This window comes from Homo sapiens, chromosome 5, assembly GCF_000001405.40.
Source record: "Homo sapiens chromosome 5, GRCh38.p14 Primary Assembly".
NCBI lineage: Eukaryota > Metazoa > Chordata > Mammalia > Primates > Hominidae > Homo > Homo sapiens.
Genome location: NC_000005.10, coordinates 43,098,739 through 43,117,880, shown reverse-complemented (window position 1 = coordinate 43,117,880; position 19,142 = coordinate 43,098,739). Strand labels below are relative to the sequence as shown.

The 19,142-nt window shown below is 44.2% G+C and overlaps 1 annotated feature.

Moving 5' to 3' along the window:
- Window positions 12,165–12,274: an enhancer, noted in NCBI's record as "active region_22533". NCBI's record gives its function as "activates an Ori minimal core promoter by ATAC-STARR-seq in GM12878 lymphoblastoid cells {active_cell/tissue: GM12878}" and the evidence as "EXISTENCE:reporter gene assay evidence [ECO:0000049][PMID:35858748]".

The following is a 19,142-nucleotide window of genomic DNA, read 5'->3' as shown; positions in this document are numbered from 1 at the left end:
CATTCATTTTCCTTATTTGCTTAGTCCCTGAAAGCATTTGAGTTTGGGACTCCTAGTCCCAAATGGGAGAATGGAAGAGAGTGTAGGACTTTTTATCTAAAAAGTATCAATGTTTATGGATTGAGTAGAAAAGGAAGAAGCTGAAAGGACTGAGTATTGCAGCTGAAGAAAGATGGAAAACTGGAAGAGTATGACATCAATAAGGCCGTGAAAGGAGAGTGTTTCAAAAGAGAGGGTGTGGGCCAGGTGCAGTGGCTCATGCCCATAATCCCAACACTTTGGGAGGCCGAGGATCACCTGAGGTCAGGAGTTCGAGACCAGCCTGACCAACATGGAGAAACCCCGTCTCTATTAAAAATACAAAATTAGCCAGGTGTGGTGGCAGGCGCCTGTAATCCCAGTTACTCTGGAGGCTGAAGCAGGAGAATCGCTTGAAACCAGGAGGCGGAGGTTGCAGTGAGCCGAGATGGCGCCATTGCACTCCAGCCTGGACAACAAGAGCAGAATGCCATCTCAAGGAAAAAAAAAAAAAAAAAAAATGGTGTGGTTAGCAGTGCCAAATGCTGCCAAGTGGTCAAGTGGTCAAGCTAAAAAAAGATTGGAAATGGTCTGGTATATTTAGCATCATGAATGTCTTTGGCAGAAGACCTTAGCAAGAAAAGATTTAATGGAGTTCTGAGGGGAAGAGAGGGGAGGTGAGAAGTCTATATTCAGGTAGGTTAAGGAATAGCTAGGAAAATTGGGACAGCAGTTTTAGAACTTTCATTTAAAAATGAGAGAAGAGTTGAAAGGAGTACCTATAGAGTCTAGCCAGTTTTACTATTTTTGTGTGTTTTGATGGGAGAGACTTAGGCTATTTAAATGGTGAGGGGGAAGGATCCAGCAGAGGAAGAAAATAAAAGTACAAGAGGAAAAGGAGCTAATTGTACAAGAGAGGGATTAATGGATTGAAAGTTATCAGGAGTGTAGATTTGCTTTCAAGAAGTTAAGGAAATTCCTATCAAACTGAAGACCTCTATTTTCTTCCTGAAATAGATGGTCAGGTCATCTACTAAAAATTCAAGAATAGGAGAGAAAAAGTATTTATGTGTTGGATATGAAGAAGTTTGAGACTGGAAGATGTATTAGTTATCGAAGGCGATGTAACCAATTCCCCCAAATCCTAGTGGCTTAAAACAATATTATTATTTCACACTTTCTGTGGGTCAGAAATCTAAGTGTCACATAGTTAGGCTTTCAGGGTCACTCACAAGGCTCCTATCAAGTTGTCAGGTAAGGTGGCTTTAATCTCAAGGCTCCAATGGGAAAGGATCTGCTTCCAAGGTCACTCAAGTGGTTCTTGACAGAATTCAGTTCCTCCCTGGCTCTTGGACTGAAGGCTTCAGTTCTCCGCAAGGCCTCTGTTCATGCCAGGCTCTCCACAGGACATGGCAGCTAGAGTCCATCAGAGAGGGCAAGAAAGGGTGAGCAAGACAGAAACCAAAGTTTCTCGTATTCCAATCTCAGAAGTGACATTCCATCACTCTTGCCATATTCTATATTTTAGAAGCAAGCCACCAGGGGCAGCCTACATTCAAAGGAAAGTAATGAACAAAGGCACAAATAGCAGAAGGCATGATCATTGGGAACAATCATAGGCGCTGCCTGCCACAGAACAGAATGGAAAGGATTTGAAATGGACCCTGGACACAGTAATAACACAGTAGCATCAACAGGAAGCACAGCAGTAACAGCATGCAGTAGGAGTTGGTGGCCAGGAATTTATATGATAGCAATCTGCCAGACATTATGATTTCCACTAGTAATATTCGTAGTCAGGTACATGGTAAATGACTTAGAATGAGTTAGTGTTAAAACACAGTTCCCTGTGGTGCAGATGTTGTGCCAGTTAATAAGCAGGTTTATAGATTTTCTGTGGAATCAAAATAGATTATTCAAATTTAGTAAGAATTGACAAATAGTTCTGGCTACCCTAGTGGTATCCAGGCACTTTTATATGTTTTAAGGCAACATTAGGAAGGAAATAACAGAGTGGTTAAGAAGGTTGGTTTGGGATCCTGAGTTGAAATCTTGTTTCAACCTAATAGCTGGGTGATTTCAGGCAAGTAGTTTAACTTCATTAAGCTTCCATTTCCTCACCTTTGAAACAGTGTTGTGGGAAGCAAATGAGGTAACATACAGGAAACACTTGGATTAGTAGCTGGTATACATTAGCTTTCAGCAAGCGGTCATTATCGTTGTATTCCAGCATAAGATTTACATTCTACCTGCTGGACTTAAAAAAAAAAAAAAAAAAGTGGCCAGGCGCAGTGGCTTACGCCTGTAATCACAGCACTTTGGGAGGCCAAGGCAGGCGGATCACAAGGTCAGAAGTTTGAGACCAGCCTGGCCAACATAGTTAAACCCCGTCTCTACTAAATACAAAAATTAGCCGGGCGTTGTAACGCACGCCTGTCATCCCAGCTACTCGGGAGGTGAGGCAGGAGAATCGCTTGAACCCAGGAGGTGGAGGTTGCAGTGAGCTGAGATTCTACCACTGCACTCTAGCCTGGGTGACAGTGAGACTCCGTCTCAAAAAAAAAGCATTTATGGAACAAAAAATGAGCTTGTCTTTGTGTTTGCCCAAAGGAACTGAAAATTCAGGGCATCCCCAATGATCCCTCAGATGCAGCAAGATGAAAAAAGGATCATGACAGGTCCAAACTTTTTTGGAAGAGCACATGATATTTTACATATGCCACAAATAAGAAACTGACACAATTTTTAGGGCTATTTCCTTCTTTTCTTTTTCAGGCAACCTGCTGGACTCAGGAAAGTAGCACGCACTTAAGGAAAGTTACTTAGTTGTTTCCCAGCTGGTGGATATTGGCCTTTACTTAGTAAACTCTAATTCTGGCTTGGAAACTCCCAATTTGGAGGGTACTGCATCATTCCTGTGGTGCTGGGAAAGAAGGCAGGACAGGGGCCAGGTAGCAAAAATCACAGAAGAGTGTGCTAAGTACGGATTGCACACTAGGCCAGAAGTTTTCTTTTCAGCAGTGTTGTTCACAGTGGCTGCTAAATCCTTTGTCCAAGTTTGGCTCTTGTCCCATCTTGGCATAATAATATGAAATGGAATAATAACCAGGTGTGGAAATAGTTGCTGCTCTCCTAGATTGGAGACCTCCAGGATGTTGTTATTGTCAAAGGATCCACTAATATCCAAGTGTTGCTGCCTTTATTGTTTTATTTTTATTGCAAACATGGAACTCATTGGACCCTGCTCCTTGATCTTTTTGTGGATCAACCTCTTTTCCTCTACCTCTTAGCGCTGGAGTGCCCCAGTTCATCGCTGTTTTCTTTTTTCTTTTTTTTTGAGACAGAGTCTTGCTCTGTCACCCAGGCCGGAGTGCAGAGGTGTGATCTTGGCTCACTGCAACCTCCACCTCCCAGGTTCAAGCGATTCTCCTGCCTCAGCCTCCGGAGTAGCTGGGATTACAGGTGCCCGCCACCACACCCGGCAAATTTTTTTCTGTATTTTTAGTAGAGATGGAGTTTCAACATCTTGGCCAGGCTGTTTCTTGAACTCCTGAACTCGTGATCCACCTGCCTCGGCCTCCCAAAGTGCTGGGATTACAGGCGTGAGCCACCGCGCCCGGCCAGTTCGTCAGTTTTAATGTCATTCTAATATATTTGGGATTAAATCGGTTACGTTAACATTTGTTTTCTACTTGTCTTACTGTTCTGTTACTTTTCTTTCTTACCTTATTTTGTATTATTTAATGATTCTAATTTCTCTATTAACTTGATAGTTATATATTCTTTTAGTGGTTAACCTAGAGATTACATCATGAATTCTAGATTTAAAACATCTAAATCACAGTTACCCTTTTCCCAAACAATGACACTTTAATTTCCTTCATTCTCCCTCCACCCAGGTCTTCTGCTTTTTAAATCCATATATTTTAAATGCCCCAAGACATTGTTTTGATTGTTTCACGTGGTTAACTTCCATTCAGATTTGCACATAAGGGTAAATCCTTTATGTTACTCATCATTTAATTTCTACTTCCAAACTTCAAACTATTTTCACTTTCTGGTGGTGACAAATTCTCACAGATTTTGTCTGAAGTCACCTTTATTTTCACTTGCTGTATAGGCAGCCTCTAAGATGATTTCCAAAGAAGGCCAGGGCTAGAGTGAGGAGAGTGAGACATTTGTTTGGGGTGCCAAAAACTCAGAAAGTAATGGTTTAACACAACTTTTTTTTTTTTTTTTTTTTTTTTGAGATGGAGCCTCACTCTGTTGCCCAGGCTGGAGCGCAATGGCGCGATCTTGGCTCACTGCAACCTCCACCTCCCGGGTTCAACCTCCACCCCCTTGCCTCAGCCTCCCAAGTAGCTGGGATTATAGGCACCCGTCACCACACCTGGCTAATTTTTTGTATTTTTAGTAGAGATGGGGTTTCACTATGTTGGTCAAGCTGGTCTTGACTCCTGACCTCATGATCCGCCTGCCTCGGCCTCCCAAAGTGCTGGGATTACAGGTGTGAGCCACTGCACCAGGCCAACACAACTTTTTTTTTTTTTCAGACAGATTCTCACTGTGTCACCCAGGCTGGAGTGCAGTGGCGCTATCTCGGCTCACTGCAACCTCCACCTCCTGGGTTCAAGCAATCCTCTTGCCTCAGCCTCCTGAGTAGCTGGGACTACAAGCAGAAGCCACCATGCCAGGCTAATTTTGAGAGGTGAAGCTAGCTGGACTTCTTGGGTTGAGTGGGGACATGCAGAAATTTTCTGTCTAGCTAAAGGATTGTAAACACACCAATCAGTGCTCTGTGTCTAGCTAAAGGTTTGTAAATGCACCAATCAGCGCTCTGTAAAAATGCACCAATCAGCGCTCTGTGTCTAGCAAAAGGTTTGTAAATACGCCAGTCAGCGCTCTGTAAAAATGCACCCATCAGTGCTCTGTGTCTAGCTAAAGGTTTGTAAACATACTAATCAGCACTCTGTGAAAATGGACCAATCAGCACTCTGTAAAATAGACCAATCAGCAGGACGTGGGCGGGGCGAATAAGAGAATAAATGCCGGCCACCCAAGCCAGCAGTGGCAACTGGCTTGGGTCCCCTTCCCCGCTATGGGAGCTTTGTTTTTTCCCTCTTTGCAATAAATCTTGGTGCTGCTCACTCTTTGGGTCTGCACTACCTTTATGAGCTATAACACTCACCACAAAGGTCTGCAGCTTCACTCCTGAAGTCAGCGAGACCACGAACCCACTGGGAGGAATGAACAGCTCTGGACGCGCCACCTTTAAGAGCTGTAACACTCACTACGAAGGTCTGCGGCTTGACTCCTGAAGTCAGCATAGACCACGAACCCACCAGAAGGAAGAAACTCCAGACACATCTGAACATCTGAAGGAACAAACTCCGGTCACACCATCTTTAATAACTGTTAACAGTCACCGCGAGGGTCTGCGGCTTCGTTCTTGAAGTCAGCCAGACCAAGAACCCACTGGAAGGAACCAATTCTGGACGCAGTTTTTGTATTTTTAGTAGAGACGGGGTTTCACCATGTTGGCCAGGCTGTCTCGAACTCTTGACCCGGAAATCCACCCGCCTCCGCCTCCCAAAGTGCTGGGATTACAGGCGTGAGCCACCACGCCCGGCCACAACATTTATAAAAGCAAAATGAACACAAGACTTTGATTTTTGGGCAGCTGGAGTAGTTGTATTTTTCCTTATTTCTCCCACTAAGTACATTTTAAAACTCTGGATGTGATCTAGAAAACAAAAAAAAATTGGCTGGGCAAGGTGGCTCACGCCTGTAATCCCATCACTTTGGGAGGGTGAGGTGGGCAGGTCACCTGAGGTCAGAAGTTTGAGACCAGCCTGGCCAACATGGTGAAACCCCGCTTCTACAAAAAAATAAACTGGGCCTGGTGGCGGGCGTCTGTAATCCCAGCTACTCGGGAGGCTGAGGCAGGAGAATCTCTTGAACCCTGGAGGTAGAGGTTGCAGTGAGCCAAGATCGCACCCCTGCACTCCAGCCTGAGGGACAGAGTGAAAAAAGAAAAAAAAAAAAACCGAAAGATTGAGAGAAAAAAGCAAACTGACTATAGGCATCTCAGAACCTGAAGAACGACACAGTGGCAAACTCCTTGAATTTTCTTCTTACATGTCACAGACTTTGAGTTAAAGAAGCTGGGCAAGCCAGGAGTGCCAATGAGCACAGGCAAAAACAAAACTCTTAACGAAAGCCTGCTCTTTAGCCAAAGGCTCAGGAAAGGGGCTGTCTAGCAAAACAAAACTTTTAGACAAAAGTCCTAGTATTGAGGCCAAATACCACAGTAAGAAATGTGACCCCACCTGCATCCATGTCAGAAAGGCTGTGGTGGCCAGCACAGGGGCTCCTACCTGTAATCCCAGCACTTTGGGAGGCTGAGGCCAGCGAATTGCCTGTGCTCAAGAGTTCAAGGCCAGCCTGGCCCACGTGGTAAAACCCCATCTCTTCTAAAAACAGGAAAATTAGCCAAGTGTGGTGGTGTGTCTGTAATCCCAGCTACTCAGGAGGCTGAGGTGGGAAAATCACCTGAGCCCGGGGAGTTTGAGGCTGCAGTAAGTCAGTGCACTTCAGCCTGGGTGACAGAGCGAGACCTGTTGTGGTGAGGAGCCTAAGCATCTGCCTTCTTCAGGCTATAACGAGGCACCTCAATTCCCACCTTTTTAGGGTGGTGTCAGAGGCCAAGTAGCAGCTCAGACTTTCACCCACACCCAGCAGTAACAAGGTTCTCTTTCCTCTTCTCCTAAGGTAATGTCAGAGGAGGCCTGATGGAGAGTCAGGACTTTCACCATTATTCCGCAGGAATAGGACCATCTTCACTTGCAGTGCTGATGCAGGCCATGAGGGGAGCCAGAACTCCTGCTCCGCCCCAGTAATAACCAGGTGCAACCTCCTCTTTGGGTGTCAAATGGAGGTCAGGTGGGAAACTTGGACTTCTACCTCCATCTAGCAGTAATGAGCTGGCACCCCACCTCCTTCCTCTACGGGAGCAGTGTCATAAAAAGCCAGGTAAAACAGATGGTTTAAAGAAAACTCAGAGTCTCATAACTTCTGAAAATATACAGGTTTCAATTTTTAAAATCACTGATACTTCAAAGCAAAAATCAGGAAACTCTCAAACTAAACGTAAAAGACAGTAAATACATGCCAACAGATAAAAGAGATGTTGTAAGTAGTAGACAAAACCGTGATAAAAGCCATGATAAAAAATACTTCAAGGAGCAATTATGAACACGCTTGAAACAATTTTTTTTTTTTCTTGAGATGAAGTCTCGCTCTGTCGCCTAGGCTGGAGAGCAGTGGCGCAATCTCGGCTCACTGCAAACTTCGCCTCCCTGGTTCACACCATTCTCCCGCCTCAGCCTCCCGAGTAGCTGGGACTACAGGCGTCCGCCACCACGCCCGGCTAATTTTGTTTTTGTATTTTTAGCAGAGATGGGTTTCACCATGTTAACCAGGATAGTCTCGATCTCCTGACCTCGTGATCTGCCCGCCTTGGCCTCCCAAACTGCTGGGATTACAAGCATGAGTTACTGTGCCTGGCCGAAACAATTTTTTTAAACCTCAGTAAAGTAATAGACAATATAAAGAAGAAGCAAATTGAAATTTTATAACTGAAAATTCAATAACTGAAATTAAAAGTTCAGTGGATGAGCTGACCGGCATACTAGAGAATACAGAGAATCAGTGAAGTGGAAAACAAAAGAATCAAAACAACCCAATTTAAAGAGCAGAGAAAAAATTGACGGGGGAAAAAAATAAGTAGAGCATCAGGAATCTGTGGGGCTGTAATAGAAGATTTAACATTTGTGTTCTCAGAAACCCTGAAGGAGAGGAGAAAGAGTGAGGCTGAGAAAGTACTTGAGGAAATAATGGCTGAAAACATCCCAAATGTGGTAAGATTTGGTACAGATTCAAGATGCTGACCAAACCCTAGAAAGTATAAACTGAAATAAATCGACACCAAGAAACATAATTAAGCTTATAAAAATTAAAGGCAAAAAAATTATTGAAAGCAGTCAGAAAAAGAAACAAAACCCAAAACCTCGCCTACAGAGAAAAACAATTCAAATGACAGCAAACCTCTGATCAGAAACCACAGAGGACAGAAGGATGTGGCACAATATTTTTTATGTTGCTGCTGCTCAATTCTCAACCTCCTATTGAGATTCCAAATACCCGTTTATTAGGTTTTCTTGTTGTACACTCTGTGTCTTTTCCCATCTGTTCTGTATTTCCCATCTCTTGTCTTTTCTCCTTGTTTCCTCATGGACATTTTCTTCTGATTTTTCTTCCAGTTCACTAATTCTCTTCAGCTGTGCTAATCTTCTGTTAAACTCATTGAGTTATTGATTTGGTTGCTATATGTTTCATTTATTATTATTTTGAGGCAGAGTCTCACTTTGTCACCCATGCTGGAGTGCAGTGACGCAATCACAGCTCACTGCAGCCTCTGCCTCCGAGGTTCAAGCAATTCTGCTGCCTCAGCCTCCCGAGTAGCTGGGATTACATGAGCCCACAACCACACCCGGCTAATTTTTGTATTTTTAGTAGAGACGGGGTTTCACCTGTTGGCCAGGCTGGTCTCAAACTCCTGACCTCAAGTGATTCACCTGCCTCGGCCTCCGAAAGTGCTGGGATTACAGGCGTGAGCCACCGTGCCTGGCCATGGCTGCTTTATGTTTTAGTTATTTTTGCTTCTTTATTATCATTTCTAATTTTCTATGAGTTTCTCAATCTTGTCTTTTATTTTCTTATTCATATTGAATGGTATTTTACAGTCTGTGTCTCGGTATCTAGAGACTGTTTCGTTGTTGCTTCTCTCAGTGTTTCTTCATGTTCTATTGCCTTTCATTTTCTTAAAATTGAATGCTGGATACTGTATGGGAAATTTTTTACAAACACTTTGAGGCCTGCAATAATTTTATCTTTCTCTATAGAAGAATTTTGCTTTTGGTTGGCAGCTAGGGGTATTGGCAATTGGGATAACCTTAATTCAATTTTAGAAATGGAGATAATTCGGCTGGGCACAGTGGCTCACGCCTGTAATCCCTGCACTTTGGGAGGCTGAGGCAGACGGATCACAAGGTCAGGAGTTCGAGACCAGCCTGGCCAACATGGTGAAACCCTGTCTCTACTAAAAATACAAAAATTAGCCGGGCGTGGTGACACATGTCTGTAATCCCAGCTTCTCGGGAGACTGAGGCAGGAGAATCGCTTGATCTCAGGAGGTGGAGGTTGCAGTGAGCCAAGATTGTGCCACTGCACTCCAGCCTAGGCGACAGAGCGAAACTGTCTCAAAAAAAAAAAAAAAAAAAAGAAAGGGAGATAATTCGAAGATTAACTTACTTCCTTTTGAGAACTAGTTTATTACCAGTTCTCCTTTATTCCTAGGGTGTAGCACCTTAGGCTTTTAACCCACATCTGAGTCCTCCTTTTTATTAAGATTGTTTGGAGCTGGGCGCGGTGGCTCACACCTGTAATCCCAGCACTTTGGGAGGCCAAGGCGGGCATATTACTTGAGGTCAGTAGTTCGAGACCAGCCTGATCAACATGGAGAAACCCTGTCTCTACTAAAAATACAATATTAGCCAGGCATGATGGTGCATGCTATAATCCCAGCTACTTGGGAGGCTGAGGCAGGAGAATCGCTTGAACCCGGGAGGCTGAGGTTGTGGTGAGCTGAGATCTCGCCATTGCACTCCAGCCTGGGCAACGAGCAAAACTCTTCTCAAAAAAAAAAAAAAAAGATTGTTTGGATTTATTCTCATTGTTCATTTCTGAGATGTTATCACTAAAGACTCCTTTAAATATTCCATTTTTGTGTAAGTTGGTAATCAATGTTTTGTCCTTAGTTGGGTCAGACAGAGTTAAAAGGGAATCAGTGCCCATGCTCATGGCTAGCTTGATAGTGATAGTGATCAATGAGTTTCAAAAGGCTAGGAGAAAACCAGGGAGCAATAGTGAGAAAGCATGAGTTTAGTCAGGCTCCCTCCCTCATCACCCCTTGTGTGTAAACTTTAGAGTCCAGAGCATTATTTTTAGTGATGAAGGTAACACTTTTATATGTTCATTGGGTTCTTCTGAATCTTTTAAGCTCCTGTTGTTTTCTTTGAGGGCCAAGCGAACAGAGTCCTGGCCAAAAAATAACATTATAGTGGTGAAGATAGAGACATTGAGGGTTGTACTGATAACCTGTGATAGGGAGAAGATGTGGATGGTTTTAGTGCAGACCCTTGATTTGAATATACTTGTAATCAAATAACTTGTGTTTTCCTGAAATAGAGATTACTAATAATATCACTTAATAAGATGACATTAGTTACATAAAAACAGACAAGGTAGCTGTATCAACACATTTAGAATCTTTATTGAAAAAATAAGAATAGCAGAATAGGACATGGAATTAATTGAAAAATAAAGAATACATAGAATGATAAAATTCAGCACTCTCATAGCTCTGACTAAAAAAAATATTTTTAAAAATTCAGCATGCTTTCTCTCAGCACTGAGCAGTGCAGTTTAGGACATGTTTTTGGCAAATTGTTGGTATTGGTTTGTCTTAAAGGATTCATGCATAGGGCTTAAGAAAGCTTCCTCTTACACGGTACTAAAGTGGCCTATTAATGTGTCTCTCTCCCCTAGATTAGAATTTTTTTGAGGAAACTGAGACTATATCTTCTCTGTGGTCTCCTAGAGGTCATCAGGGCCACTTTCATTTTAGAGGTTCCTGGTATATTAAAAAATCAAGAAATCGGCCAGGCGCAGTGGCTCAGGCCTATAATCCCAGCACTTTCGGAGGCCGAGGCGGTCGGATCACGAGGTAAGAAGATTGAGACCATCCTGGCTGACACAGTGAAACCCTGTCTCTACTAAAAATACAAAAAAATTAGCCGGGCGTGGTAGCGGGTGCCTGTAGTCCCAGCTACTATGGAGGCTGAGGCAGGAGAATCGCGTGAACCCGGGAGGCAGAGCTTGCAGTGAGCCGAGATCGCACCGCTGCACTCCGGCCTGGGGGACAGAGCAAGACTCCATTTCAAAAAGAAAAAAAAATCAAGAAATCCCAAGTTTCCAAAAATTGTAGCCTATTTTAAATATTTACATTTAACAAATTTCTACTTTTTCACAAATCAGAATATAATACAATATAATCCAGCTTTTCAAAAGCTAATTTTCGGAATTCTAAGAAATAACATATTGTTAATAATTCATCGTGCCCTAGGGGGACAAAAATTTAAAGTTGAAGAATTAGCATCTTTCAGTCCTGTCACTGTAGCTCTGTCTGTGAGGCCTTCCACATATAAGAAGTGTCACGTCAAATGTGCCTGCTGTCTCCCTCAGCCCAAATTCTTGTCTTGGCCCTGGTCTTGTCATCTTTGTACCACGAGCCTAGTACAGTGGTTGCTTCATGGCGGACACTCAACAAATGCTTGTTGACATTTGTTTTTAAACTAAACTGTTTTAAGAATGATTCATTTGCCTTCTGAAAGTCAAGATACCAGAAAATGAGTCTGTTATTCAGTTTCTAGAACTCCTAAAGCACTATTTTACACATAATTTTCAGGCTTTGCCAAACTGTTACTAAACTTACAGTGGATGCTTTCCCCACATGATTCAAATTTCTGGTATGGAAAAATCTAAGCATAAAGGATGTGTGTGTGGAGGGGGAGGGAAGGCAGTAAATACCTCAACTCCTGACCCCATGAACCCATTTTATTAGGGATAAAACCAACGGTTGACTCATTGAGGGACTTTCTACAGTCATCTCAGGTGTATGCTAGACATGAAAGTCCTAGAAAGTTCTAGAAACATCCCAGTCTGTGGAAAGCAGCACCACCTCATCATAGCTGAATTTAGAACGACAGCATTGATCAATTCTCTTAGCACTGTATGAGCCAGGGTCGACACGCAGCAAGTCTTATGGAGCCCGTGTGCTGCTGCCCTCTAGTGGTTCTTCGGCCTGTGCAGGACCCACCGCTTTTCTCCCACCGTGAGGGGGCAGCAGAACTTCCAGGTTGTCAAACGCTGAAATCCGCTGGGCTGCTGAAACCAGCCAAGTCCATGGTCCTCCCCTCAAGGCACCGGAGATCATCAAGTAGTGCAGGAGTCATCAGTCCCAACACTGGGAGAGATGAGATTTGGTCCTTCAACTAAAATGCAGGATCGCACCGCTAGTCCTCTTCAGTGTCATTCCCTGCTTTCAAGGATACAAAACCAAGGGGACGAGGACCGAGGACAGAATGGATCTGCCAGCAGGAACCCGAAGCCAAACTGTCTTTCTCCCCACTCTTCCGCCCCCCCGAAAATGAAGGTTACCGTCGGGAGGGAGGGCATGTGGCAGTAGTGTCTCTAGTGGACAAAAGGTGATATGTCCATTGTAGTTTGATTCACTCTTCAATTCTCCTGGTTTGTTGTTGTTTATATTTCCCAACCAAGGCTTCCTGTCCTCTCAGTTTTCTTTCTTTCACATTATTTTTCTCCCTAGATTCACTTGCTCGGATAGCTCCTAGATCCTGTGCCCTCATCATCTTTTCCAAGGCCATCATCAGGACTCATGCAGGCTTTTTTTTGGGGGGGACGGAGTCTTGCTCTGTCGTCCAGGCTGGAGTGCAGTGGCTCGATCTCGGCTCAGTGCAACCTTCACCTCCCGGATTCAAGCGATTCTCCTGCCTCAGCCTCCTGAGTAGCTGGGATTACAGGCACATGCCACCACACCTGGCTAATTTTTGTATTTTTACTAGAGACGGGGTTTCACCATGTTGGTCAGGCTGGTCTCGAGCTCCTGACCTCGTGATCCACCCGCCTCTGCCTCCCAAAGTGCTAGGATTACATTTGTGTTCCTGGTTGGTCGTTGAGGAAAGAGGAGATTGGCGGGGTGGGTGGTGGTGGGAAGGCTCATTGGGGGAACTGGCCCTTGGTCCTGGGTATCTTGGCTTTGTTGGCCAAGGGGTGTGTGGTGGGGTTGTCTGTGGTCAGGATTTGAGGGCTTCTGGGAGGGGGAAGCCGGCCAAGGGTAGAGAGCTGCCAGAAGTCAAAATCGCGGACATGGGTTGGGCTGCCGAAAGATTCAGCAGACAGACAACAGCCCCGGCAACTGTGCTTAGCCCTGAAATGCCTCTACTGAGTCCTCCTAACATTTAGTCCGAGTGTGCCAGGGTGCCTTTCTGACGCCTTCCTGTTGCTCTCCCTGCCATCTCTACCATTCTCCTGCTTCTTAGTGCTTTGGATCAAATAATTGGGCTGGAGAAGAGCAAGTGGTAGGGGACAGACGTCTGATTCTGGCCTATTCTGCAGTCATCCTAGCATGGGTTTAGAGAATGACATTTTTCTGTTTGCAAGCAGGGTAGGCCTGTAGACTAGGGATTGTGTGTGGGAGGCTCCAGCATGGTCAGTGACAATGGAGCTGTAATTATGGGTCTCAAATTCAATCATACAATCTAGGTACATCTGGGACTTGGGATTGGGGTAGGTCTGGAATCTGGTTACGTGGGAAAACTTTCCTTGGACAATTTTCATCTAAGAAGCGGCACTTTCATCTTCATGTTTCACTTTCAGTTTCATGGTTCTCTCCCACACCCCACCCAACCACAAGCACTCCCATTTCCTAAGCACATCACACTCCTGATGCCCCCATTTCTGGACTAGTTCGGTACTCAGCAGGGATTGGAGGAGCTCCTTGCTCCTGTTCTGAACACTGTGTTAATGGAATTTGGCAGGGCGTGGTGGCTCATGCCTGTCATCCCAGGGCTTTGGGAGGCTGAAGTAGGAGGATTGCTTGAGGCCAGGAGTTGAAGACTAGCCTGGGTAACACGGGGACACTGCCCCCCGCCCCCCGCCCCCGTCAAAACACACACACACAAAGTAAAATGAAAAAAATAATAATAAAAAAGATAGGAATTAACATGTACAAAAGAGACCAAAATGTCTATTTAAATATTTTACTTCTTTGTGGGAGAGTATTAAGAAAAAATATTTATAAACTTTCAAGATGAAATGTTGAGAGTTTTTCTTCTTTTGTGTTTTTCTTGTCTAAAAGTTGTGATGATAAAAAATAAACATTCTCAAAATATCCTAAAAACAAAATATATCTTGAATATTTACATGTTTTATTAAGGAATCTAGATTCATTTCTTTCTTTTTTTTTTTTTTTTTCTGAGACGGAGTCTTGCTCTGTCGCTCAGGCTGGAGTGTGGTGGCGCGATCTCGGCTCACTGCAAGCTCTGCCTCCCAGGTTCACACCATCCTCCTGCCTCAGCCTCCAGAGTAGCTGGGACTACAGGCACCTGCCACCACGCCCGGCTAGTTTTTTTGTATTTTTATTAGAGATGGGGTTTCACTGTGTTAGCCAGGATGGTCTCAATCTCCTAACCTCGTGATCCGACCACCTCGGCCTCCGAAAGTGCTGGGATTACAGGCATGAGCCACCGTGCCCGGCCTAGATTCATTTCTTTAAGAACATTATTTTTAAAAAGGATGTAATAAGTTTGTAGACATAAAATTGAATGTGATATCACTCATATTTCCTTTTCTGGTTTTTAGGAAAAGAAACAGCACACTCAAATAGTTTAAGCCTATAGAGATTTATTAGGGGTTAAAGATAACTTAAAATTTGATGGAAAGGTGAAGGCAGATTTTCAACTGAACTTCAGGAATGGCTCTCAGAACCAAACTGCAAAGAACCAAACTGCAAACTAGCTCCCTAAGGGTGAAACTCGGAAATTTGAAAACACCGAATCAGGTAAGTATCACCCCAGCTGCCCTTTTTGAACTCTCGTGCATGTTGGCTGTTGTGTTGGTATACACAGGGCAAGGAGACATTCCCAGAGTTGAGAGAGGCCAAAACACTGAGACCCACCTGCCTAAGAATCAATGACTGAACTTGCCAAGATGCCGCAGTTCCTTCAAGAAGACACAGATGCTGCATCCCAATGGAGCTTACATTAGCTAAAAGCCAGCACTTGGGGAGGTGGACAGACACATGTCCAGAGTGCCTTGGAGAGCACAGGCCACCGCTGAAGCTGTGAAAAAAGGCTAAATACATGGTGGAAGCAGGAAAGGAAAGGAACCCCAGACTTGCTCCTGGCTCACAGTACTACCTGCTTCCCCATGCAGAGACACCCCAGTGAGGGCCCTCATATTGCCCTTGTGGACTTCACTGGGACTGAACCCTTCAGACCTAAGAGCTTCTAGGGCTCAGTTATTGGAAACATTTTCAGTTTTATTCTTCTGAATGACTTAAAGATTTTTCAATTAGAAAAACTCTCTTCATGAATGACATGTACTAATGTACTAAAGAACTTTGCTTCTAGATCTATTTAGAATTGTCACACTTCTTCTACTACTGATTACTACTGTAATCTACTGGGATTACAGGTGTGAGCCACTGCGCCCGGCCATTTTTTTCTTTCTTTCTTTCTCCTTTTTTTTTTTTTTTTTGAGGTGGAGTCTCGCCCTGTCGCCCAGGCTAGAGTGCAATGGCGGTATCTCAGCTCACTGCAACCTCCACCTCCTGGGTTCAAACGATTCTCCTGCCTCAGCCTCCCGAGTAGCTGGGATTACAGGCGCCTGCCACCATGCCCAGCTAATTTTTGTATTTTTAGTAGAGACGGGGTTTCACCATGTTGGCCAGGCTAGTCTGGAACTCCTGACCTTGTGATCCGCCCGCCTCGGCCTCCCAAAGAGCTGGGATTACAGGTGTGAGCCACTGCGCCTGGCTCAAATGTGCTTTTCAATAAAGGATTGGGAAAAAATAAGTTAGAGTGCAACTGCAAATTCCAAAATGATTAAGCCCTTGGAAATAAAATGGGATACATGATTTGAAAGATATCCAAGAGGTGGCATGTGCAGTAAGAAGAACTCAGCATTGGGCAGGCTGGTGGCTATAGCACCAGTGCTGAGAGGGCAGGATGTTAAGTAGGAAAGAAAAGCCTTTAGAGAAGGGCAGAGTTCCAGGATCCCTGTCCATATGGACAACATGACCCTAGTCTCTCATGTCTGTCAGCTCTTGTGTCTTCTGGCTTTTCTTAGTCTCACTCAGCCACATTGTTTGTAGCACTCACTTCCCTTGAAGGCACTTGAAACTGGGACATCTGTCCACAGACAGGCCTGTCTGGACAGCCTTCCAAAATGCTCATGGCAATGAGAAAGTCTCTGAGTCCCAGTCATTTCCCTGCACACAGAGTAGTTCCCATCTTAGCAAAACTGGGTGTTCTCTGAGTATCACTCAGCACATGGAAGCTGTCCAGACTTCTGTCCTGTGCAGGCAGGCAGTAACCTGGGATCTCTGCTCTTGCATGCAGATAAACTTACAGTCCTTCAAAGCTTCAAGCTCCTAGATGGTGAAACAATACATCTGTGCTGAGAGTGAGGAGAAGGATGCAATAGTCTTCCAGTTTTGTACTTTTACACTTCTGGGTCATCAGAAACCAAAGATTTGCCTTGGTTTCCCAAAGTGTTGGGATTACAGGCATGATCCACCACGTCCAGCTTCAATAATTATTATTTTTTATTTATTTATTTTGAGACAGAGTCTTGCTCTGTCACCCAGGCTAGACTGCAGTGGCGCCATCTCGGCTCACTGCAAGCTCCACCTCCAAGGTTCACACCATTCTCCTGCCTCAGCCTCCTGAGTAGCTGGGACTACAGGTGCCTGCCACCACACCCAGCTAATTTTTTGTATTTTTAGTAGAGACGGGGTTTCACCGTGTTAGCCAGGATGGTCTCAATCTGCTGACCTTGTGATCCACCTGCCTCGGCCTCCTAAAGTACTGGGATTACAGGCATGAGCCTCCACACCCGGCCCTCAATTATTTTTGATAGTTTTGTGTCAATATTTCCATGATATATAACAATTCCTTATTATTCTAGCAATCTTTTCCTCATCATTTTGTCTTAGTTCTACATAATTCTTATACTGAGGATTAAACTGAAGCATGGCTCTAACCCTGAAACTTCTCTAATAATTTTTAATCTCAATGATATTGTTTGAATATTTGTCCCCCTCCAAATCTCATGTTGAAATTTGGTTCGGGACAGAGCAGTGGCTTACACCTGTAATCCCAGCACTTTGGGAAGCCAAGGTGGGAGGATAGCTTGTGGCCAGGAGTTCAAGACCAGCCTGGGCAACACAGAGAGACCCCTGTCTTGATAAAAATAAAAAAGGCCAGGCGCGGTGGCTCACACCTGTAATCCCAGCACTTTGGGAGGCTGAGGCGGGCGGATCACAAGGTCAGGAGATCAAGACCATCTTGGCTAACACAGTGAAACCTCGTCCCTACTAAAAATACACACACACACACACACACACACACAAAATTACCCAGGCGTGGTGGCGGGCACCTGTAGTCCCAGCTACTTGGGAGGCTGAGGCGGGAGAATGGCATGAACCCAGGAGGTGGAGCTTGCAGTGAGCCAAGATCGCGCCACTGCACTCCAGCCTGGGCAACAGAGTAAGACTCCATCTCAAAAAATAAATAAATAAATAAATAAATAAATAAAATAAAAAAGATTTTGATAATATTGGAAGTGGGACCTAAAGGGAGGTGTTTGGGTCATGGGGGTCGAGCTATCATGAATGGCTTGGTGCAGCCCCCAAGTAATAAGTAGGTTCTCACTCTATTAGTACATACAATAAAAAGAGAACCATGTCAAAAGGTACCTGAGATACACCAAGAAAGCTCAAACTTGAAGACATGTTTTTAATATGTAAATGTGTATGAATGGATACATACAAGATGTGTTTAAAATCTGTTTGAGCTGCCACTGTCAGATTCAATGTATAGCTAGCATCAATTTGCTGGGGTTAGAGGGCATCAAGATCTTCCCAGAAATTCAGAGCCTTAGGTAATCCAAAGGAAGATTCTGTCAACATTTATACCTAAGCTTGACAGCCCTGATGCCTCTTTGGACCTGGCTTGGAAATATGATCCTCTATTGTAGCAATTGTACCTTGTTGCTGAATGATGTCATCATCCACAAGATGGATCCATTCTTGATTCTCACCCTATTGACTTTTTTCCATTGCAACCATAACATGGGCTAGCTGCTCTACACCTCTCCAGTGGACTTCAAGTGCTGCTGAGCTCAAATAAATCTTGTCTGTCCCACCATTTTAACCAGACAGGCAGAGCTCTTCTGTCTTAAGTGTCTCATAAATCTTTCAAATAGGTAAACTTCTAGTGCTATGCTTCCTCTGACCGTTCTGCTATTCTGTTTTCCTGTGCCATGGTTTCTCATTAGGTTTTCTACTGTTTTTTTGTTTGTTTGTTTGTTTGTTTTTCTTTTTGTTTTTGTTTTTGAGATGGAGTTTCACTCTTGTCGCCCGGGCTAGAGTGCAATGGCGCGTTCTCGGCTCACTGCCGCCTCTGCCTCTCGGGTTCAAGCAATTCTCCTGTCTCAGCCTCCTGAGTACCTGGGATTACAGGCACCCCCCACCAAGCCCAGGTAATTTTTTTTTTTTTTTGTATTTTTGGTAGAGACAGGGTTTCACCATATTGGCCAGGCCGGTCTCGAACTCCTGACCTCAGGTGATCTGCCCACCTTGGCCTCCCAAAGTGTTGGGATTACAGGCATGAGCCACTGCGCCCGGCCCTACTATTGTTTTTTGAAGCCCTAAATTCAAGGACAAAGGTCTGGCTTTGAAGAGAGTCACCATGTTCAGTAACCTTTCTGGTCTTCAAATAAGCTCTCCCAATGATCTTGGAGTTGGACTGTATTCTGAATGATCTCTTCACTGTGTCTTTGCTCTCTCAGTAGGTTGTAAGGTCTGTGAAAGCTGTAGCCAGTCCTTCATCTTTGTGTATATGGCTCCCATCACCGCATCTGGCATATGGAAGGATATCAACACATGCTTGTGAAATGTTGAAACTAATCAGACTTTTACAGTAAGAATGATATTTGACCAAAAAAATCTGCATTTGTATCTGTCAACTTAAAAGAATCACACAATTATTAATTTAGAAAGGAGATTTTCTTTTCTTTTCTTTTCTTTTTTTTTTTTTTTTTTTTTTTTTGAGACAGGGTCTCACTCTATCACCCAGGCTGGAATGCAATGGCACAATCATGGCTCACTGTAGCCTCAGCTTCCCCAGACTCAGGAGATC